We start from the raw sequence: 24,579 nt of genomic DNA on the forward strand, positions 1-24,579 counted from the left end.
ATTCTCCTGGGTTTTCCAGCTCCTGAGAGTGCCCTGGCTTTGTGGGGTGAAGTCCTTTGATTGTCTCAGGTTCCTGATCTGTTCATGACCCTGTTAGCCCAAAAGCTGGCAGAGCTCCATGTAAGTGCTACTGTTCTTTTTGTCTCCCTGACTCTCCCCTGCTACCCACCTGCATCGCCTTAGGCATTTATTCTTTGCTTAAACATGCCTATTTGCAGAGACACACTGAGCTAAGCAGCAAAGTGGAGGTTTCCAGTGAGAAGTCCACCGTGAGGGAATAGGGTGTCAGGAGAAGTCCTACCAGCTCATCTTGACCGAGATGCTCGTGTGCTGTGCTTTTGAAAATGCAAGCAGTCAAAGAACATTTAAAATGCGGTCAGTGGTTACTGTCCCTTTGTGGAACCGAGCAGACAGGAGTGCAGGTGTGAAACATGACGTCCATATGGAAATAGAAGGACAAAACAGTCTTTGTTAACTTGATTATCTACCCTGTGGTTAGAAATGAGGGCCTGGCTAAATGCAACACAGAGAATCTAGAAACTTTGTTTTGCAAAAAAAGGCACCTACCCCATTTACACTTTACTGAACTATTATTAATAAGGAGCTTATGAGTCTATTAGATATGGTCTTTGCCTTCTTTCTCGATTCTAAGGTTGGGTTTCTGGGGACAGTGAAAAGCCCCAAAGGTGGGAAAAGCAAGAGGAGGGCAAACAGAAAGTCTGCAAACTCCATCATCTGAATAACAGGGCTGATGCTTTAGAGTGTGCTGCTTGAAAATCTGGTGTGCATATTTAAATTATAGCTTTCCACACACAGAAAGGGCAGCCGTTCCCTTTAGCCCAGCCCCCTTTCCCTCTTATTATTAAAATAGAGGACAAAAGGGGTGCTTTTTTTCCTGGGTTTCTATTTTGGTATGAATTTACAAAATGTGGTTTAAGTATTGATTTTATAGGAAGAATGTCACATTTTAAGATTCAGTGTTAGGCATGGAGCTCTCTAAAAGATTGTTAAGTATTAAGGCCAGGAAAAAGGTGCTGTGCAGCAGTGCCCAGCAATAGAGGGCATTCAGGCAGGAGGGGCTGCCATTCATCAGCTACCCAGTCACCCTCTTGCGAGGGTGGAGCTGAGTTCTCCTCTGCACAGACTTCAGAGATACAGCAAAGGCAGAGCAGTGTTCTCCTCAGCACAGAGCCGGGCGGGCGGGCCGGGGGCACTGCAAGGGCGCAGCTGCGTTCTGCTCAGCACAGACCCGGGGGACACCACGAAGGCAGAGCAGCGTTCTCAGCACAGACCTTGGGGGCACTGCCTCGCTTTGGGACAACTCCGGGCCGCATCCCCGGTGAATAAAATCCTTCCTGTTTGCAGCCCTGAATAATCAGGGTCAGAGACCAGTTAGAAGGGTTCAGTGTGGAAAACGGGAAACCAAAAGCCCCTCTGAATCCTGCCCACCGAGGTTCTCCCCAGCCAAGGCGAGGCGGCCGCAGTGCGAGATCCACACCACAGCCTCAGAAGACAAATGCAGCATTCCTAATGCAGACATGACACCCAAAATATGACACCCCCATTGCTCATGTAACAAGCACCTGTAATGCTAATGCACTGCCTCAATACAAAAATATTAATATAAGATCCGCAATCCCCTCGCTGCCATGCAGTCCTAAGACAGCAATCATAATAATCAACATTGACATAGTCAATACAAACGTAGTAACGAACCCAGGGTTAAGGTTGGTGTTAGGGTTAGGGATTAGGGGTTAAGTTTAGGGTTAGGGGTTGGAGATAGGGGTTGGGGTCAGAGTTAGGGGTTAGGAGTCAACGTTTAGAGTTAGGGGTTAAGAGAGGTTAGTGGTTTGGGATTAGGGGTTAGGGTGAGGGTGAGGGTTGGGGTAAGGGGTTAGGGTTAAGGGTCAGGGGTTAGGGGTTAGGAGTTAGGGTCAGAGGATAGGGGTCAGGGGTCAGGGTCAGGGGTCCCACTCTGTGGGTTGTCCACTCTGCTGACTGTTCCCTTTGCCATGCAAAAGCTCTTTAGTTTAATTAAGTCCCAGCTATTTATCTTTGTTTTTATTGCATTTGCATTTGGCTTCTTGGTCATGAAATCCTTGCCCATGCCAATGTCTAGAAGGGTTTATCCAGTGTTATCTTCTAGAATTTTTATAGTTCAGGAATTAGGTTTAAGTTCTTAATCCATCTTGAGTAGATTTTTGTATAAGGTGAGAGATGAGAATCCAGTTTTATTCCCCTACATGTGGCTCGCCAATTATCCCAACATCATCATGTGTTGAAAAGGTGTCCTTTCCCCACTTTATGTTTTTGTGTACTTTGTCGAAGATCAGTTGGCTGTAAGTATTTGGGTTAATTTCTGGGTTCTCTCGTCTGTTCCATTGGTCTATGTTCCTATTTTTAAACCAGTACCATGCTGTTTTGGTAACTATGGCCTTATTGTACAGTTTGAAATCAAGTAGTGTGATGCCTCCAGGTTTGTTCTTTTTGCTTAGCCTTGGTTTGGCTACATGGCTCTCTTTTGGTTCCATATTAATTTTAGAATTGTTTTTGTAATTCTGTGAAGAATGACGGTGGTATTCAGATGGGGATTGCATTGAATTTGTAGATTGCCTTTAACAGAATGGTAAATTTCACAATATTGGTTCTACCCATCCATGAGCATGGGGATGCGTTTCCATTTGTCTGTGTCATCTATGATTTCTTTTCTTTCTTGTTTTTTTTGTTTTTTTTTTTCAGAGGGAGTTTCGGTCTTGTCGCCGAGGTGGGAGTGCAATGGTGTGATCTCGGCTCACTACAACTTCTGCCTCCTGGGTTCAAGCGATTCTCCTGCCTCAGCTTCCCGAGTAGCTGGGATTATAGGCATGCGCCACCGTGCTTGGCTCCATCCATGATTTCTTTCAGCAGTGTTTTGTAATTTTCAATGTAGAGGTCTTTTGATTCCTTTGCTAGGTATATTCCTAAGTTTTGTTTTTTGTTTGTTTGTTTGTTTGTTTGTTGCAGCTATTGTAAAAGGGGTTGAGTTCTTGATGTGATTCTCTGCTTGGTAGCTGTTGATTTATAGAAGAGCTACTGATTTGTGTCCATTAATCTTGTATCTGGAAACTTTGCTGAATTCTTTTATCAGTTCTAGGAGCTTTCTAGAGGAGTCCGTAGGGTTTTCAAGGCAAAAGGTCATATCGTCAGCAACCAGTGACAGTCTGACTTCCTCTTTACTGATTTCGATTTCCTCTATTTCCTTCTTTTGTCTGATTGCCCTGGCTAGGACTTCCAGTACTTTGTTGAAGAGGAGTGGTGAGAGCATGCTCCTCGTCTTGCTCCAGTTCTCAAAGGGAATGCTTTCACCTTTCCCCCATTCAGTATTATGGTGGCTGTGGGTTTGTCCTAGATAGCTTTTATTACATTAAGGTATGTCCCTTGTATGCCTATTTTGCTGAGAGCTTTAATCATAAAGCAATGCTAGATTTTGTCAAATGCTTTTTCTGCATCTGTTGATATAATCGTGTGAGTTTTTCTTAATTCTGTTCATTTGGTGTATCACATTTATTGACTTGCATATGTTAAACCATTCCTGTATCATTGGTATGAAACCCACTTGATCATGGTGGATTATCTTTTTGATATGTTGTCAGATTCAGTTAGATAGTATTTTATTAAGGATTTTGGCATCTGTATTCATCAAGGATATTTGTCTGTAGTTTTCTTTTTTGGTTACGTCCTTTCATGGTTTTGGTATTAGGGTGACGCTGGCTTCATAGAATGAATCAGGGAGGGTTTCTTCTTTCTCTGTCTTGTGGAATAGTGTGAAAGGATTGGTATCATTTCTTCTTTGAATGAAGGAAGACATTCTTTGAATGTCTGGTAGAATTCTGCTGTGATTCTGTCTGGTCGTCAGCTTTTTTTGTTGGTAATTTTAAAATTACCATTTCAATCTCACTGCTTGATTTATTGGTCTGCTTGGGGTATCTAATTCTTCCTGATTTAAGCTAGGAGGGTTGTATTTTTCCAGGAATTTATCCAACTCTTCTAGGTTTTCTAGTTTATGTGCCAAAAGGTGTTCATAGTACCCTTGAATAACCTTTAATATTTCAGTGGTGTCAGTTGTAATATCCCCTGTTTCATTTCTTAGTGAGGTTATTTGGATTTTCTCTCTTCTTTTCTTGGTTAATCTTGCTAATGGTCTATCAATTTTATTTATCTTTTCAAATAACCAACTTTTTGTTTTATTTATGTTTTGTATTTGTTATTGTTGTTGTATCAATTTCATTTAGTTCTGCTCTGATCTTGGTTATTTCCTTTGTTTGCTGGGATTGGGTTTGGCTTGTTCCTGTTTCTCTAGTTCCCTGAGATGTGAACTTAGATTGTCTGTTTGTGCTCTTTCAGGCTTTTTGACATTGGTGTTTAGCGCTACAAACTTTCCTCTTAGCACTGCCTTTGCTGTATCCCATAGGTGGTGATAGGTTGTGTCATCCAGTTTGAAGAAATTTTTTATATTTCCATCGTGATTTCGTTTTTCACCCAATGCTCATTCAGGAGCAGGTTATTTAAATTCCATGTATTTGCATGGTTTTGAAGATTCCTTTTGGAGTCGATTTTCAGTTTTATTCCACTGTGATCTGAGACAGTGCATGATAGAATTTCAGTTTTCTTCAATTTACTGAGACTCGTTTTATGGCCTATCATATGGTCTATCTTGGAGAAAATTCCATGTGCTGTGGAATAGAATGTGTATTCTGTGGTTGTTGGATGAAATGTTCTGTATGTATCTGTTAAGTCCATTTGTTCCAAAGTGTAGTTTAAATCCAGTGTTTCTTTGTTGACTTTCTCTCTTGATGACCTGTCTAGTGCTGTCAGTGGAGTATTGAAGTCCCCCACTATTATCGTGTTGCTGTCTATCTCATTTCTTATGTCTACTAGTAATTGTTTTATAAATTTGTGAGCTCCGGTGTTAGGTTCATGTATGTTTGGGATTGTCATATTTTTCTGTTGGATGAGACCTTTACCATTATATACTGTCTGTCCTTGTCTACTTTAGCTACTGTTGCTTTAAAGTTTGTTTTGTCTCATATGAGAATAGCTACCGCTGCTCGCTTTTGGTGTCCATTTGCATGAAATGCCTTTTTCTATTCCATAATCATTCTGATGCAAAAACAATTGTAACTCTCTTTCTAGTGCCTACATTTCCTATGAGCCCCAGTTGTGCATAGCAGAAAATACGGAAGCATCTAGGAAAACCTAGGGGCAGGAGGGGCTGGAAGGGAATAAGGCCTTTCAAGGTGTTTAAAGAAGAGACAAAGATGAAGAAGCAGGCATAGTTTCTGAAGAGGTTTTTTGGTGTTTGTTGTTGTTTGCATTTACCTAATTAGTTCTCAACTGCAGAGGCACATTAGAATATTCTGGGGAATTTTTAAAATACGACTGCATGGGCCACCTGTCATATACACTGATGTAATTGGCCTGAGTTGGGGCCTAGGTGTTTCTTTCTCTCTCTCTCTCTCTCTCTGTCTCTCTCTTTCTGTCTCTCTGTCTCTCTCTCTGTCTCTCTCTGTCTCTCTCTCTCTCTCTCTCTCTCTCTCTATATATATATATATATCCTGTTTTGTATATATCTAAGTATCTGTAGATATATACAGAACAGGGGATACCAGTGTGTACCTACCATTGAAATCAATTGTTTTCAAGTCTTTTTAGGTCTTATTCTCAGATGGTCTTGGGTAAATGGTGGCTGATTGCCTTCAGCATCTAGAATAAAACACTCTATGGCCCAGAGGAATTCCAGCTGGCATCTATGATCTTTTTCTCTTGAGGTAGAGCAGCTGAAGGGAGGATTATCTTCATGTTGAGTCTGATGGCAGGGTAATTTGCTTCATGTGGAGGCAAAGGGATATTGTTAGTTTTCCAGCTACATTGGGAGTTCTAAGTAGCCACATCTCAGGCTAATAGGAAGTCCAGATTGGTTCAAACCTTTTCTTAATTATCCTGTGTAGGAATGGACCACGCAGTATCCCTCAAGGAAGAATCAAGAGTGTTTCCACAGAGAATATACATATTTCATCTCTTTCTCTGCTGAATGGATCCCCACTGAAAGCCATGAATTAATTACTCTCATTAGACCCTGTAGAATCCCAGTTTATGGCAGTGACATTAAAAACATCTAGTTCATGACTTGGATTAGGCAGCCTGTAAAATGACTTCCAGTGATCCCTGCTTTCTGGTATGTATGCCCTTGTATAATACCCTCCTCATGAGTGTAGGCAGAGGTAACATCACTTTTGAAACTAGGTTATATATATTAAAACAAACAAACAAACCTGTGGCTTCCATTTTGGGTACTTTATCTCACACTCTCTGATTTCTTGCTCCGTGGGAAACAGACTGTAATGTTGTAAGCAATGCTATGGAGAGGTCCATGTGGTAAGGAAGTGATAGGTCCTGATAAGAGCCAGTGAGGATCTAAGGTGGATCCCTTTCTGAGTTGAATATTGAGATAGATGACTAACAGCCCTGGTCTACACCTTGATTGCAGCCTCATGAGGAATTCTGACCAAAAACACTGTGCTGAACCACGTCCAGGCTCCTGAGCCACATAAACTATGAGAAAACAAATATTTGTTTCAAGCCATTAAGTTTTAATTTGTTACACAGCAATAGATAACTAACACCTTTGTTACAGAGCAATAGATAACTAACACATGGAAGGATTCATCAAGAGAAGCGTTTTTCATAAGTGAAATGTTATTTTCATCTCACATTTCAATTATTAGAAAATAAAAGAAAATAAATTTGGATAGGCTCTCATAAATTCAATGATAAGAACTTGGAAAATGCAACCACATGATAACCAGGAAGTAAAAGGAAAACATAAGAGGCATCTTCCCAGACGAGAGTAAATATCTGGTTCCCTGAGAAGTGTAGTTTGAGAATGGAGAAATCAGATGTTACTGGAAAGAGGCTAGGACCGTATTATTTCTTGCTTCCTGTCAAGTCTTTTCAACTCAAGAGAAAGTAAATTTTCTTGACAAACCATTCAAAATTAAAGGATAGGTGGGAGTACATGTGTCCCTGAAGGAACAAGTGACCTTCATTGAAAGCAGCAGCTTGGTTGAATAAATACTGTACAGAAGTGGAATAAAGAGTAGCTGACAACAATGCTGAAATAGTTACACATGAAGTTTTAATGAGCTATTTCATATTAAGATACATATTGAGAATTCAAACCAGAGAGACCAGTTAATTGATATTTTCCCAACTCTGTTTTAGGGTGATCATAGAAATGATACCCACAAGTTAGTCACAGTGGCCTGCATCCATTTTGATATATCAGTGACGTATTCTGATTGGCCAGTAATCACCCATACTGACTGTTAAATATTTTTGTTATCACTCCTATGCATGGTGAATTTGAGTTCTGGTTTTCTTTAGCCTTGTGTTATTTATGTGTAAAGTTGGATCATGGAAGGCAAAGAATCTCCCGTGTGTCATTCACGCTCAAGTAAATGGCAGTGGGATAGGGATGTAAATGAAACTGCATGATAAGCCCTGCAAGTCATTCTGATGTATCGATTTTGCTTACTGGTGTTTAATTGCAGACATTGTCATATTAACGCAACCACTAATACATTATGGAGTAAGATGCAAAAATCACATGAGTCTTAACAGAAAAGAAATGTGATTTCTGTGGTGGGCCCCTTCTGCATTATTCTCTAACTTCTTGTTTTATACCTCTACTGTTAGAGAAATTTCAGTAGAAAATCGTGAGGGGCACTGTTTTAGAGTTTTTGTTGTTATAGCAATGCTTTTACTACAGCTAGGTCCCCTTGTACATCTTTATGTTCTTTGGCAGTCTAGAGAATCAGAAGAGCAAACTCTATGAGATAGAAACTCTAAGAATTTACCTCCAGCATCCCTTCTCTTCTGTCATTAAATTGAATTCATAGCCAACTCAAAGATTGACAATTTATACTATGGTTTTTATATTTTTATATTATAATTTATATTATGGCTTATGTCAAAATGTTTTGTTCACTGCTTTGAAAGTATCTTTTGTTTACTTTTGTTATCATTTCATATTTTAATTTTTTCCTTTCTAATTGTTAGAAACTCATGTATTTAATTTTATCTTTCAAAGAACATTTTTAAAAGGCTTACTCTGCTTATATGTATATTTTGCACAAAGCTTTCCATTCATAAACAAAAGGTGAATAGGAATCAGAATTGAAAACTACATAATTTCTTTTCTCCTTTTGAGTCAAATCATCACAGTATAGATTAGTCATTGTGTATGAAGTGCATTGCCAAGACATAGTCACATTTGTGTACAAATGTAAAGGCTATATCTCAATAGAAATAAAAAAACAAAAAAATGCAGAAGACCATTAGCTAATAATACTAATAATCTAGTATAGAAAGCATGTGCCAACTGATCTAGACTCTTGTGACAGTTGTATATCTACTCAGCTGCTTGACCTTAGGTGTATCAAAATCTCGATTTCCTAGACTACAAATGAGTAAGAGGGATGGAGGCCCCTTACAGTTTTAAGATTCTGGAATTCTAAGTGGGTGTAACTGGAGCAAATTTTATTTTCTAAAATTTGCATAATAAATTTTAAAATAGGAGAAAAACTAATAATTAAAGTACATATTTCTGGAAGTCTTTTTTAGGTGACTTATACTACCAGGAATGGATTTACCACTAAATATTGGTTTTGCCTAATTCAGCATTGCTATGTAATTTGATGGAAGTATAACTCCATAGACAAAGAGATTTGGTCCTAACATAGCTTGTATTTTATATGTATATACACTATTTCTATTTAAATTTCTGTGTAGTCATGTTTTACCCTTTTAAAATGAAGATTAGTTTTATTATGTATTTTCTTTTGTCTATAAACATTCAGTGAATTCACACTGAAAACTGATTATGAACAGATAGTCTGCTAGGCACTAAGGAAACACATATGAAAAACTAAGTCCTCCTCTGCCCTCAATATGCTCACAAGACTACAGTTACTGAAGCCTGACCTCAAAACCTAGCTAACAAAGTCCTTGAATCAGGTGATAGTTCAGAATACCATTCATGCTCTCTCCCAAGAGTATATCTGAGGAAGGGCAGTTCTTTCTAGTTTTCTACATCCTGGTCGTATAGGTCAACCACAGGAAAATTAAATGAATCTATTGGTTTGTTGACCTAGCCTTTTCATATAAGCCTCATCTATAAATGTATTACCAAATACTATTTATGTAAAGGGACTTGAATGACAAATATTTTGAAATTAAAACCACAATGGTTAGCATAGCTTTTAAATTAGATAAATGTTGACCTCCCATTGGTGAACATATAAAGTGCTACCAAGATCTGCCAATGAAAGACTTTGGAAGTGGAAATTCATCTTTTTAATAATCCTGTTATCTGTAAGCTGACCTCAAGCCTTCATGACATTCAAGGCCCCTTATTCCTAACTGTATCTTCTGTTTTGGGCATTGTGCTCTTGCCATCTAACAGGAAAACAACTTTCAGTGCTGCCACCTTTTGAACAGCAGAGATTTCTAGAGATTAGAAAATTACTAAATTTAAATATACATAGTTTTAAAATATGATACTTTTCTACCTATGCATTCAAATATATTCTAACTTTTAAATCCTGTAAATACTTATATTTGTAATGATTTTACTTATATGATCCAATTAATTGGCAAGAATATGTGGTGAAAGATTTTTTACATGTTTGTATTGTTCTGTGTGAGACATCTACTGTAAGCATTGCTTCAGGTTCTCATTTTTGTCTGCCTTCCAGGATTTGCTGGCCCAAGTGCTGTGTGCTAGACTTAGTCTCGGTCACAGAGGGGAGGGAAACTTGCAGTTGAGCCAGACAGTTTTGTTATTCCTTTAAAATTAAAAGCATATGAAACAGATACAGCTTATTAAGGTTTTTTTAATAAATAAAATAAACTTAAATAACAAAATAATAAAGTTCAAAAACAACTTAAAATATAGTTTAATGCTGTAACCATAGGAAAAAAGCATGATTATTTGTGGGAAGAACATTATTAAAAGCCATATTCCCAAATACGAATTATACAAAGATAGATTATGTTACTTGAAAAAAACTTAAAGATTTCTCAATTTTACTTTGAGAAATTATAAAATGTTATTTTGTGGCAAGTAAGATGAAGTACAGTATTATCATCAATCACTGTTGCTATCTTATATACAAGATTTTTGGAAACATCCTTTTAGCAATACCCTTTCCACTTGAGCAGCATTAGAAATTTTGTTCTTGTTAATAGGTATAAGCATGTTCTAATCCTGTACTTTTGTTAAATTATCTATTTTATTGACTTTCGTAATAGATTTTTTTGAGAATATTCTTTTTTTCTGATTAGAGTTTAAGTAGATTATAATTTTTCACTAGAAAGCATTTAAAATGCTGCTCATTTTCTATAGTTAGTGTGGCTTGATTATCTGACAAATCCTGCCAGCAGCCTGTAGGTCTGATACACCTTATATAACATCATCTGCATTATTATTATTATAGCAGCCATTTTATAAGCAGATAGGAATATTTAAATAATCATTATCAGATAATCAAATCTAACATACTCTTAAGGGTAAATTAATTTAAGAAAAAAATTACTATTACTAACATCATGATTGTACAACCAGTTTTACAATTTTGTACAACCTTTAGTTACTAAATCTGATTTTTGTGTATACTTTTCAAATCTTTCTTTAATGCAGTGTCTTAAAACAAACATAAATGCACAAGTCAAGCTTGATCAGTTTTTCAGTAGTTTTCCAGCCTTTCTTGATTACTAAAAAATAAAAGGAAAGAAAATTTTGAGAAGAAAGAAAACAGTCCACTTAAAGAAATCTCCCTACTGGAACTGGTTCTTTATATACCATATGCAATTAAGTTATTGCCATAGGAAGAAAGTGGGCTGTTTTTTGTTCTTTCTTCGTTTTTTTTCCTCTTACAGGAATCCCCTTTTGATTTAAGGCAACAAACATTTCCCCTCCATTGTGTGTCCATTTAGCTGCTGCATATGTGTTGTAATGGTTTTCCAGAATTAGTTCTTTGAAGTTACAATCTTCATTGCATTCTTTCTGTTCAAACAAACAAACAAACACACAAACATTATCCAAATGATTTTTAGAGAGGCTCAATTAAACGAAGAGTAAGCAGCAATATTTGGTAGAATTGAAACATACACAACTTTTTTTAACCCTCAGATTGAGCAGGCCTAATGTGGTTTATTAGCTAGACTTATGTAGTATATTTGCATAAAAAGGTATCTTAAATTTGAAATAAAGACACCACATAATGCACAGCTAGTGTGAAATATGTGTAGCTTTTTGGAAGTTCATGTCAACTATTCTTTAAAATTAGGACCTATTTCCCCCTAAGTAACAGGCCTCAAATTACTCTTCCCACATCACTCATTCTTTAACCACTGGAAATTTGGTAGAATTAGCAGAACCTCTGCCTCCCTCAGGTGAGAGACTTGTTTCACAACTTTTCTTTATTTACTTGTACACTGTCTTCAGTGGTAATGGAAGATAAAAGGTTAATTTGTTTGTTCATCCATGCAACCATTTGTTCATTCAATTAAACCTGTATCATTATATAATTAGCCTGTTCCAGGCATTATGCTGAGCTGTGGGAATACAAAGGAAAGCCAATTATATTTTATTACAGTGGGATGAACTGTTACATATTTTGCATTGTAGTGAAGTGGGAACAATGTGAATAATTACAGTTCAAAGCCCATGATTGTGAGATTGATGTTGATGAATGAACTAAACATTTCAAGATTTTTTCCCAAGAATTTTCATGTCAGCAATGTGCAAATTGGGTGAACTTTAGCAAAAAGAGCTTTAATACTGGCAAATGGAAATTTTGGATTTTAAATATCTAAAATGCACATGGAATGTTAGAGCTGGAAGGCTCCTTAGAGGTCAGCTAATTCAACTCATTTTACAGATGAAGAAACCAGAATCCAAAGAACAAGCCATTTGTCCAAAGTCACACAGAAAACATTTTTTCTTAACATTTGAGTATAAAGTGTTTTAATAAAATCATTAAATTATACAGTTGGAGATAGATTAAGTCCATGTTTACTTTTCAGAATGGTGAGATATTTCAACAAAAATGAGTTTTAAAAATTAAGCCTAAGCTATCAATTATCAATACCTTTGCATAGAGTTTTCCTTCCTCGTTCATTGCAAGATAGAATTCACTTTCCACCCCTTTGATTGCCACAATCCGAACTGCCACTGTCCTGATTTCCATGATATCTGCAAGGAATCACAGAAAGACATGTCAAGTATTCGTTCAGCTTTGCAAATGATCCACGAATGGCCATTTGTTCTTATTTCTGTTTTAATCGGAAGTCTTTAAAATTTTTAATGTGATTATTTACTCAGCCCAAGACCCCCGACCCACAAGAGATACACACAAACACCAGAATAGTCATTATATAAGGCAAGTGCAAACTGACGGTTTTTTATTTTGTGGAAAATGTGCCTGTATCGAATAAATAGTTACATATTTGAGTTCAGCTTTTTATTCTCTAGAATTAAATTTCTAATTTACTATAATAATAATAGCTAATGTTTATTGAACGCATACCACATGCCAAGGATTATTGCATTGCTCTTATGTATTAACTCATTTACTCATAACCGCAGATTGAGGCAGGTAGTCTTGTTATCCCAGTTTTACAGATCAGGAAACTGAAGCACAGAGAAACTAAGAAATTTGCCCAAATTCTTATACCTGATAAGTAGCAGAACTGGAATTTGAACCCACACATTCTGGCACTTAATCATTATATAATTACTTTTCTATTTGGATAAACTTTATCTTAAAAATTATGGCCAACAGAATAGCTCTTGAATATACTGAAAGTGAAGAAAATTCTAATTAAAGCAATTGTAAATGATGGTAAACAGAGCCTACTGCCTTAAAATAAAAGGTTGTTTTAAACTGATAGTATTTTGATACATGAAAAGACCATTTAAAACAAAATTATGAATCCTGTTTATATAATACTTCATAACTTTATACCTTTGTAATTAACTTTTAAATCTTTGTTGAAATAGTATTTACAAAACGTGTTTACACAAGAATGGTAACTTACCATTTTCCTTTATTATATATATCTTCCTTAAATCCTGTGTTTTAATGACACACTAAATAAAGTAAAATCTCAAGAAATTTATTAAAATGATGTAAGAATTAAAATTTTAGTGTACTTTTATGCAATTTGGTATTAATTACATTTTCTACATGAAGGTACAGTGCTGAGACATCCTTTTACCTATGTCTAACACAGTGCAAAGAAAAGTCAAAGTGTCAATTTTCTGTGTGATTGGGCCTTCAAAAGCTATTTTCTAAAATATTGACTTAAAGAAAAAGCTAATTGTTTTGCCCCATACCTTTACTTCATTCTCTTATTTATTTTTTTGACTTCATTTTTGCTACCTGGATAATAAAATTTCTATTCATGTCATTGGGATTTAATGTAGCCCAGCTAATATTTCTCATTTGCCTCACATATATGTTGCATATAGAAGCCCTTTTCCCAATATCCTATACTTAACACTAGTCAGAGCTCGTCCAGTTGAGAGTTTCACAGCTACTCCTCCAGAAATTGGGTTTGATTAAGAAAATGTAAATGAATGGATATTAATCTTTTTATATATTTATTAAGCATTATCACAATGCATACAACCCTACTGTAGTTTTAGGACACAAATTAAGAAAAACAGCCCTGGTTTCTGATACCAGAAGTTAAAACCTAATAGAAACAGCAAACACGTCCATATATTTTGAAGAATTTTGAAGAACACAGGCCTGAATAGGCCAGAGAAAATTTTACTAATTGCTTACAAGCACATGAAGGATTATGACGTTGATGCATTCATGTAACGTTCAGCAGATCTTCACTGAGAGCCAATTCTATGCTAGGCTCAATTCACAGACAAGCCTTGCCCTTTTAGGGCACTCTATTTGGTAACTACAACTTCATTGCATTAAAGGAAGCACAAAGGGAAATAACATGCAGAAGAATACTATTAGGTTAAATTTGTACTAATACAATGAAAAATACTGAAGAAATTCATTGATTCAGCATATTTGCAATACCTCCAAAATGGAATGAATGTATCAGTTAGGTTGGTGCAAAAGTAATTGTAGTTTTGCCATTACTTTTATGACAAAAACTGTAATTACCTTTGCACCAAACTAATATTTAAAGGACATATGGAATAGTTGGTTTCTAAAGATCTTAGCATTGTAAAATATCATTAAAAAGTCAATATTTTCTTTTCCTTCAAGTCTCTTTACTCCTGCCATTCCTCCCTGTATTTAATATATTTTCTTTTAGATAAAAAGAGAATGCTGATGCACAAGCTTAGAGTGTCTTTCTTGATCAGTTATTAGGGACTAGAATCTGTAATGTTTGCTGGCTTTTCTTTTACAGAACAATTGTAAAACATAAATGTTGACTGATAGAGTTAGTATTAATTATGATAGGCAGACGTCTTCCCTTTTTGGTCCTGTCATGACAATAAGTTCATATTGTCCCACTCCCAAAACATTTTCCTCTATCCCCTGCCTGTCTATTGCCCACTATTTCTTTACTGCACTTTACAAGAGGTGATGGCTGGATGTGGTAGCTCACATCTGTAATCCCAGCACTTTGGGAGGCCGAGTCAGGCAGATCACTTGAGGTCAGGAGTTCAATACTAACCTGGCCAACATGGCGAAAAATACAAAAAATTATCCGGGTGTGGTAGCGGGTGCCTGTAATCCCAGCTACTCAGGAGGCTGAGGCAGGAGAATTGCTTGAACCCAGAAGGCGGAGGCTGCAGTGAGCCAAAACGGTGCCACTGCCCTCTAGCCTAGGCAACAGAGTGAGACTCTGTCTCACCAAAAAAAAAAAAAAAAAGAAAAATTAGTTGGGCATGGCGGTGAATTCCTATAATTCTAGCTACTTGAGAGGCTGAGGCAGGAGAATCACTTGAACTTGGGAGGCAGAGGTTGCAATGAGCCGAGGTCACACCACAGCACTCCAGTCTGGGTGGAGTGAGGCTCTGTCTCAAAATAATAAATAAATAAATAAATAAATAAATAAATGAAAATAAGGTGGTGAACATTTTTAATCATATCTCTCCACATATTAGGGTTAAGGATACCACAAATTCTTTGTAAAGATTCTACGTTTAGCTGAGATGAGAATAGACTTATATTCTTAATTGCTTGACATATTTAAAAAATACCATTCACACTGGGAAATCAACATATCTAAAAGACAATTGCTTGGGGAGAGCATTAAGCAGTGTTGGCAGAATCAGTACCTTATCAACCCTATTTTCTAGTCTATTTTGTTCCATGTCCTACGACCCTCTTTTATTCAAGAAAAGCTCAAGAATAAGGAAATTAACATTATCACTCATTTGTTCAGTTGCAGTGTGGGGAGTAATGTTCCTTTCAATATGCACAAATATTTATAGAAGTGTTAAATATGGGCCGGGCGCAGTGGCTCACGCCTGTAATCCCAGCACTTTGGGAGGCCAACGCGGGCGGATCACCTGAGGTCAGGAGTTCAAGACCAGCCTGGCAAATATGGTGAAACCCCATCTCTACTAAAAATACAAAAATTAGCCAGGCATGATGCTGGGTGTCTGTAATCCCAGTTACTCGGGAGGCTGAGTCAGGAGAATCATCTGAACCTGGGAGGCGGAAGTTGCAGTGAGCTGAGATTTCACCATTGCACTCCAGCCTGGACAACAAGAGCTAGACTCTATCTCACCAAAAAAAAAAAAAAAAGTATTAACTATGAAATCCTACCCCTCCAAATCAGAAGCCACGAAGTTGCTCAGAAAACATAATAGAAAAATATGTAATATGCAGATATTGTTAGTTACCAATATGAGTTAATTATACTTGGTCTTTTTGTCTACAGTGTATCTGTTGCCTCACATAAAACAAATAGAAGAGGCTGTCTTTCTTTGTGGATTTCCATTTGTGCTTAAGAGAAGTTTGTTCACATAAGTAGCACTCAGTAAATTTATTCCCAGAGATTTAAAGCATATACATAGATGCATCAAATTGTTGGCATAATGTCCATGATAACATAATGGCAGAGTTCAAAAATATAAATAAAAGAGAGAGAGAGAATCAGCTCATGCAATAGAACATGAAAAACCAGGCAATATGTCAAGCACATTGACCATTTAGCCTTGTCAACAATATTGTCAACAATAGCATAAATTTATTATTTAGGATGTCACCCTTACACACTAGAGACTATGCCCTAAATAGCTTCCCTATTTTTTATCATCTGGTTCAATAATTCATGAATTTATCTAAACTTTTTGTCTGTTTATTATTTAAACCTGTGTCACACTTGGAATGAAAAGTGGGGAACTTTGATCTAAATTGCAATTACTTTTTTAAAAAATTCTGTAAGACCTTTCAGAATTTTAGGTGTCCCTCTAATCTTGTATTTCAGAAATTGATACTAATTCTTTTTTTAATTACCAATAGCTTTGTGATTTTAAAGTGCTTTAACTTTCCTGTTTGAAAAATTACTTTTTAGTGTCTCACTACACAGAATCCGTGTCCACCAATCTCAGCATCATTAATATTTCTTTTTCCTGAAACCGTTAAAGCTTTATGTTTAAAGTTTTGAAGGGGTATATATTAATATGGCTGTGCTAGCATGATAACTAAATATTATTTTCAAGTTGCAAAAAAAAGTGGAGGCAGCGGTTTGATAGTTAGCCAATCAGAACATTTAATCTTGTCCTTGATCAAATATACCCTCTTCGGCATGTTAAAACTAAGAACTAGTATCAACAAAGAAAAAAACATTTACATTTAAATACATTTTATGATTTTCTGTCAAGCCTGGATTGTTGAGTGGGAAATCTTAACCATTATATATTTATATTATGTTTAAGGCTATAGATTCCATTCATTTTACATCACTAAAATACACCGACATATACATATATGCAAAAAATATATCAATATATCCAACATATACAAAAAAAACACTGAAAACACAACAATAAGGAAAAAAACCTAGTTAAAAAGTGGGCAAAATCTGGACACCTCACTACAGATACACAAAGGGCAAATAAGCAGATGAAAATATGCTCAATAACATAGATCATCAAGGAATTGCAACATGGATGCAGCCGGAGGCCATTATCCTAAGCAAATTAACACAGGAACAGAAAACTAAATACTGCATGTTTTCACTTATAACTGGGAGCTAAACACTGGGTACTTAGGGACATAAAGATGGCAACAACTGACACTGGGGACTACTGGCGGGGAGTAGATGAGGGAAGGGTTGAAAAACCATTAGGTACTATGCGCAGTACCTGAGTGATGGGAGCAATCATACCTCAAACCTCAGTATCACACAATATACCCAGGTAACAGACCTGCACATGAACCCCCTGAATCTAAAATAAAAGTTGAAATTATTTAAAAAGGAATTGCAAATTAAAACAACAATGAGATACCTCTATACAACTATTAGCATGACTAAACTCCAAAAAACTGACAGTGCTGTATGCTGGCAAGGATGCGAAGCAACCAAAACTCTTTCATTACTAGTGGGAATGCAAAATGGTGCAGTCACATGGGAAGACAGTTTGGCAGTTTCTTAAAAACTAAACATGCTATATAATCCAGCAGTCATGCCCCCAGGTATTTGCCCAATTGAATTGAAAACTTATGTCCATACAAAATCCTGAACGTGACTATTTATAGAAGCTTTATTCGTATCATCTAAAACCAGATGCAACCAACATATCCAATAGGTAAATGGATGAACAAACTATGGTACACGTATACATTGGAATATTATTTAGCAATGAAAGGTATTGAGCTGTGAAGCCACAAAAAGACAAGGGGAACCTTAAGTACATATTGCTAAGTGAAAGAAACCAGTCTGAAAAAGCCACATACTGTATGATTCCAGCCATATGACATTCTGGCAAAGGCAAAACTTTAGAGGCAGTAAGATCAGTGGTTGCAAGGGCCTTGAGGAGAGCAGAAGAAGGATGAAAAGCTGAATCACAGGGGATTTTTAAATCAGTGAAACTATTCTGCGTAATACTGTAATAGTGGATACACGATATACATTTGTCAGAACTCATAGAACTATACAAAGCAAAGCGGGGACGTTAGTATAAATTGATGGTATAAATAAATATTGGCTCATCTATTGTAATAAATGTGCCACATTAATGCAAGATATTTATAATGGAGGAACTGTGGGGGGAAATGGAGATTGTTTATAGGAACTCTATTATCTGCTCAATTTTTTTTTTTTTTTTTTGATACAGAGTCTCGCTCTGTCGCCCAGACTGGAGTGCAGTGGCGCGATCTCGGCTCACTACAAGCTCCACCTCCTGGGTTCACGCCATTCTCCTGCCTCACCCTCCCCAGCAGCTGGGACTACAGGCGCCCGCCGCCACGCCCAGCTAATGTTTTTGTATTTTTAGTAGAGACAGGGTTTCACCGTGTTAGCCAGGATGGCCTCGATCTCCTGACCTTGTGATCCACCCGCCTCAGCCTCCCAAAGTGCTGGGATTACAGGCGTGAGCCACCGCGCCCGGCCCTATCTTTTTATTTTAATAAAATAACTACCTAATTTATGACAGGATAGTAGCATCTGGTGTTCTCTGAGGTTCTTTGATTTGTGGGCAGGTGTCTGTTGCTGAATTTTAAAAGTTCTCAGCCATCCCTTTTTTCTTTTCACATTCTGGGTGAATGCAGTTTTCATAGAAGGTGCTAGATTTGTGCAACCCTAAAGATAGGTGACTCCTCTGACTCACAGATCCCTGGGAGCCTCTCCCGAACAGAGTTTCTTTATCCACACACCCCACTTCCCATACCCACTCTCCCACATAGGTGTTCTGGCCACCAGTAATCTCTGAAGGATGGAAGATGAAGAGACATGACTTTTACCTGAGTCTCTACTCCTCCCAAGAGAATGAATGTTCCTGGAAACTTCACCAACAGAAAATCAGGGGATATCAATATATGTAAGCACTCATTACTCATGTAATGGAGGCCTTGGCAAAATGTGACACTTAAATTTCTGCTCAGGGAGAGTAGAAAATAGGCACAGAGAATAGAGAGACTGGTAAAGAATGAAGGCTCAAAGGTGATTGAGTTGTGTTAAAGGCACGTCTTGATCAGGCTTTGCTTTATTTTTCTCTTGTGGAATATGAAAGTGGGTGTTACAATTAAATATATTTCTTGATTTCCTAAAATGTTATAGGCTGTTTCCAATTTTTGTTATTTTTGGAGTTTCTTAAATCGAAATTTGATTCAGGATAATTAAAAAATATAATGTTAATGTTAAGATGGAAAGTAGGTCAAAAGGCAATCACGTTAAACAAGAGGATAATTGGAGATAGGACCTTGAACACGAAAGTAATCTTAAATTCTTGACTATTATGATACAGTTTGCATAAAGAACTGAGATTTCTTCAGAAAACTATAGTGAAATGGGACACTACAAATCAAATATAAATTTAAAAATGAACGCATTTATTCAATACATATCCATAGATTATTCTGGATTAAATGTACACATTTTAAGAATAAAGTTTTAAATTTGAAAATGAAAGACTGTTTCCCATCTAAACAGACCATTGGCTTCAAGATACTTACAACTGTGTTAAATCATCTTCCATTGGTTATAGTTGGTTATGGCATCGGCATCCCCAAATCTGGCTGACCCATACTACGTTTTTCCTAAATCTCTTTTTTCTTCTGTATCTTGCTAAGTCTGCTGGTTCATCCTCCCAATTTCCTGTATTTAAAACCCCAGTGCCACGTTTGACCTTGTCCTTTCTCTTCTGCTGTTCACGTCTTCTGTCTCTCACATTCATTCCAACCTACACATCCCAGTGGCCTATTCCTATTTAAGCACCCAACCCCCTCTCTCCTGAATGAATGCAGAAAGCTTTCTCATCTCTGGACTCATAACACAACAGTTATTATTACACACGACTGTCAGACGTGTGGAGTTCTTGAACCATAGTTCTCTGGTGTCATCATTCATTTTAAAAATTTTGGTTGGCTCCCTATTACCTAGAAAATAAACTTTAGTGTCCTTTGCTCAACATGTGAGGCCCTCCACAATCTAATTTCACACGCTCCAAAACCTTATTTCTACCTACTCTCTTCCAAGGACCCTGAACCCCACATTCCAGGCAAATCCAGTTATGGAACACTTGCAAAGGCCATCAGAAGTCACTGCAAAACCAATCCGGTCTGACTCCTATGTTGTTTAGTGCTCTATCCCCTTTGTCTGAAATGGCTTTCCCTCCACCTCTATTTTTGTTTACCGGCACCTTCCACAGCTTTCAGCATTCAGTTTGTCATGAAGGCAGCTGTTACAGACTGGACTAGAAAACTGTGAGCTGAATTGGTGGTTTCCAAATCAGTATCACACTTGATTCCCACCTCCAGAAATTTTGATAGAGGGGGCCTGGAGTAGAGCCAATGAGTCTTACACACACAGACACACACACACACACACACACACCCCAAAAGAAATCCACACCCCAAAACAAACACACACTTACCCTAATGACTATCTAGGTGCCAGCCCTAGCCTAGGCCAGGCTGGTGGAACATGCTGGATTAAAAACAACAGGACACTGAGAAAGTATTTGCTACACAGACATATGGGATTTGACCATGTGTTATTTACAGATAACCTAACTCATTGGAGTAAAACCTATCTTAAATTGGCATATGGTATAGGATATGTTGTAGCATTTTATTAGTGAACATTTGTAAGGTTTTATTTGTGAAAACTGATAAGACTGTATTTGTGACCATCACAAGGAAAACTGATAAAACTGTATTTGTGACCATCTCAAGGAAGGCCTGTCCTATGCCAGGCTCACCTGCCAAGCTGGCCGCAGTCCCTTCCTCTCTTGACCTCACGTTGCCCCTAAAGGCGTCTCTGTTATTATATTCATGACTTTCCATTTTCTAATACTGTGTACTGATCATTTCAACACATGCCTTATTCTCTGAATAGACTGAAGGATTCATTAAGTATCTGAAAAGCAAATGCTGATGAACTTGCCTAAAATAAAAGGCATGAAACATGCAAGTTTCTAACATAGATTGTAGCAGCCACCCCAGATGATTGCAATCGCCTCCCCATTGATCTCCCAGCTGACACATTCTATGTATTTGTAACTTAGCAACCAGAGTGAGCCTTTAAAAATTATCAGAGAGCGCCACTCCTCTTAGTAAAGCACTACCCCACCCCAGTCACGTAGCTTTCTGATTCACAGGAGTAAAAGCCAAAGTCCTTATAATGGCCTAAAAATCGTACATAATCTGTTCCTTTTCAGATTTCATTCACTACCATCTTCCCCCTTCTCTCTCTGTTCCAGTTACAACAGCTTGCTGCCCCCCTCAAACACAACTAGCACGTTCCTGCCCCAGGGCCTTTGCACCTGCTTTTTCCTGTTAGTGCAACAAGCTTGCTCCAGATATCTGAAAGGCTGACTATCTCGCCACCTTCAGATGTGTGTTCTAATGTCTCTTTATCAATGAGAGCTTCTTTGTCCACCCTGGGCATCTTCTTGCCCTTCCCTGCTTTATTCTTCCCCATGGCAGTTACTCACATTGGACACTAAACACTTGTTTCCTTAGCTAGGCATTCTTCTCCTACCCTCACAACAGTAGGAATGTCCTAAGGTTCTGAGAAGACTCCTGTGCTAGGTTTCCAGACTCCTGTCCTCTCACATTTGGTGCTCATGCACCTCTTGGTCATTAGTGCACTCCAGAGGTTAGGACCTAGAGTACGTGGCTGTCCTTCAGAGGAGGGAAAGGGATTGCTTAGGAGCAGAGAAGGGAGCTTTGGCCTCGCAGTGCAGGACCCCTGTGCCCACAGGCCTCTGTGTGTTGACAGCAATGCTCTTGGTGTCCACCTGCACTGCCCTCTGGTGTTCAGTCAAAATCAAGCAAATAGTTACGAACTGCTATAGGGGATTGTTACCAGGTCCTGAGTCTGAGTGTTGGAAACACAAACCCAGAAGCAAACAAATCTGCCCAACACCCCTGACATGTGGGTTTCACAGAAAATACTGAGGTCAGAGTAGCGTGTTAAATGATACCACAGTGATGACACAATCATAAAAATCTACACTGTGGACTCTGTCCTAGTTTCTTTAACGAATTGCATGGAAAAAAAAGATGGAAGGGGAAGAATAAGAATGAAGAATGCTTTAGAGACTCTGCAATCCATCGTAATATCCGTACAAGGATTCTGCTCTTTTAAAAAAAGAAAAATGGTGTGAAAAAATATGTAGGACTGGCCAGGCAGCGTGGCTCACACCTGTAATCCCAACACTTTGGGAGGCCGAGGTGGGTGGATCACTTGAGGTCAGGAGATCAATCCTGGCCGACAAGCCTGACCAACATGCCAATATGGTGAAACCCCGTCTCTACTAAAAATCCAAAAAATTAACCAGGCATGGTGGTGGGCACCTGTAATCCCAGCTAATTGGGAAGCTGAGGCAAAAGAATCGCTTGAACCCAGGAGGCGGAGGTTGCAGTGAGCCGAGATCTTGCCACTGCATTCCAGCCTGGGTGACAGGGCGAGACTCTATCTCAAAAAAAAAAAAAAGTAAGACAATCAGGGAAATTTGAACAGCGACTGGATTTTGGTTAAAAGTAAGTAATTCTGGCTAATTTTTAGATGTATTATTTTAAAAAGGGGATCCTTACCCTTTGGAGGTGGATACCTCCAAATATTCATGGATGAAATGACAGGATGCCAGAAATGCTCTTCAATTAATCTATGTCAGGGAAGTGGGATCAGAGGAATCAGGACTGTCTAAAACTGAAGCTGGGTATTAGGTCAATGAGTTAATTATACTATTCATTCATTATGCTATTTATTTCCTTTTGTATATTCTTTAAATTTTTCATAATAGTAATAAAGATATGTTGAACATGGTAAAGATGGAAAATGTACAGAGATAGAAGAAATATTCTTATTTTTTATTTCATACAATTCTATAGTTTCACATTTTGTTTTACTGTATTTATGCATTAATTCTATAACTGTAAAACATGCTATTAATAATTAAACTGACCTTATGAAAATTCTTGGAGAGTGAAAACTTTGAAACTCATGTGCTAGGTACATCATTAAAATATATCATTCAGGCGACACCTGATGACTCACATCTATAACCCCAGTAATTTGGGAGATGAAGATAGGAGGCTCCCTTAAGCCCAGGAGTTTGAGACCAGCCCTGGCTATATAGCGAGAGCCTGTTTCTACAAAAAAAAAAAAAAATTATTATTAATTAGCCAGGCATGGTGGCATGCACCTGTAGTTCCAGCTACTCAGGAGGCTAAGGTCAGAGGATAGCTTGAGCATGAAAGTTCAAGACTGTAGTGAGCCATGGTCATGCCACTGCACTCCAGCCTGGGAAACAGGGTAAAACCATGTCTCAATAAACAAACAAATAAATACATAAATACATAATAAAGTATTCCATTCAACATTTTTACCTTAGTAATGCTCAACGTTTGGTTTTTACTTATTTCCTTTTATGTTGTATTTTCTAGACCAAATTCACATATAGTATAAAGCAGAAGAAACTAAAGATTAAATTCATTGTTCGTAATTGTATTCAGTTTCCTGTTTTCATCATCGTTTGTTTACAAATTTTTTTTTTTTCTTTTTTGAGACAGAGTCTCGCTCTGTCACCCAGGCTGGAGTGCAGTGGCTGGATAGCTCACTGAAAGCTCCGCCTCCCAGGTTCATGCCATTCTCCTGCCTCAGCCTCCGGAGTAGCTGGGACTACAGGCGCCCACCACCATGTCTGGCTAATGTTTTGTATTTTTAGTAGAGACGGGGTTTCACCATGTTAGCCAGGATGGTCTCAATCTCCTGATCTCGTGATCCACCTGCCTCGGCCTCCCAAAGTGCTGGGATTACAGGTGTGAGCCACTGCCCCGGTCTGTTTAGGAATATTTTTAAAGAATTATTGCACTTCTGTTCGGATAGAAAAACAAAAATGCATTTTAAGAATATATATTTATATGTATGAAAATATAAAATTTTGAAAAGTTGAATATTTCGAGCCAGTTATGTAGATGTCCTTGTCCTTCTCTGAGCTGCTGACTCACGTTCCATGAAGCGGGATGGGTCTCACAGGGCCTGTCAGGATGCAGGCTGTGATGTGAAGGCCCCTCGACACTCACAGGATTGGACGGGTTTGTGAAGGAATTTGGAGTGAGCCTTAGTTAGTTCCTTAACATTTCCTTTGAGCAACATCAGTGCTTTTGACATTTTGCACTGCCGTATAAAACTGTAAGTGCATGCAGAGATGTATGTTTCTGAATAAATCACAAAATTGACAAGCAACTGCCATGCATTGTTTTTTGTATCATAGCTAACTGATAAAGTACAGACTGCAACATTTACTTATTCAAATACCTTTAAACATCTGGTATTTTTTTTTTACCTGTACTTCCCAGGAATTTGATGTCAGATGCA

At 37.7% G+C, this 24,579-nt stretch overlaps 2 long non-coding RNA genes and 1 pseudogene across 2 annotated transcripts in view; 2 read left to right on the plus strand and 1 right to left on the minus strand.

Annotated features, from left to right (window-relative positions):
* Positions 1-10,815, plus strand: part of LOC128966771 (uncharacterized protein FLJ76381) — a 98,522-nt gene extending 87,707 nt beyond the window's left edge. The window contains 1 exon segment of the long non-coding RNA NR_185482.1: positions 7,114-10,815. This is a non-coding gene — a long non-coding RNA (uncharacterized protein FLJ76381).
* The window catches only part of LINC01189 (long intergenic non-protein coding RNA 1189), a 69,529-nt gene that overhangs the window by 11,549 nt on the left and 33,401 nt on the right, over positions 1-24,579 (plus strand). The gene's annotated exons all lie outside the window — the stretch shown is intronic.
* Positions 7,886-12,295, minus strand: FGF7P7 (fibroblast growth factor 7 pseudogene 7; annotated as a pseudogene).

This window comes from Homo sapiens, chromosome 9, assembly GCF_000001405.40.
Source record: "Homo sapiens chromosome 9, GRCh38.p14 Primary Assembly".
NCBI lineage: Eukaryota > Metazoa > Chordata > Mammalia > Primates > Hominidae > Homo > Homo sapiens.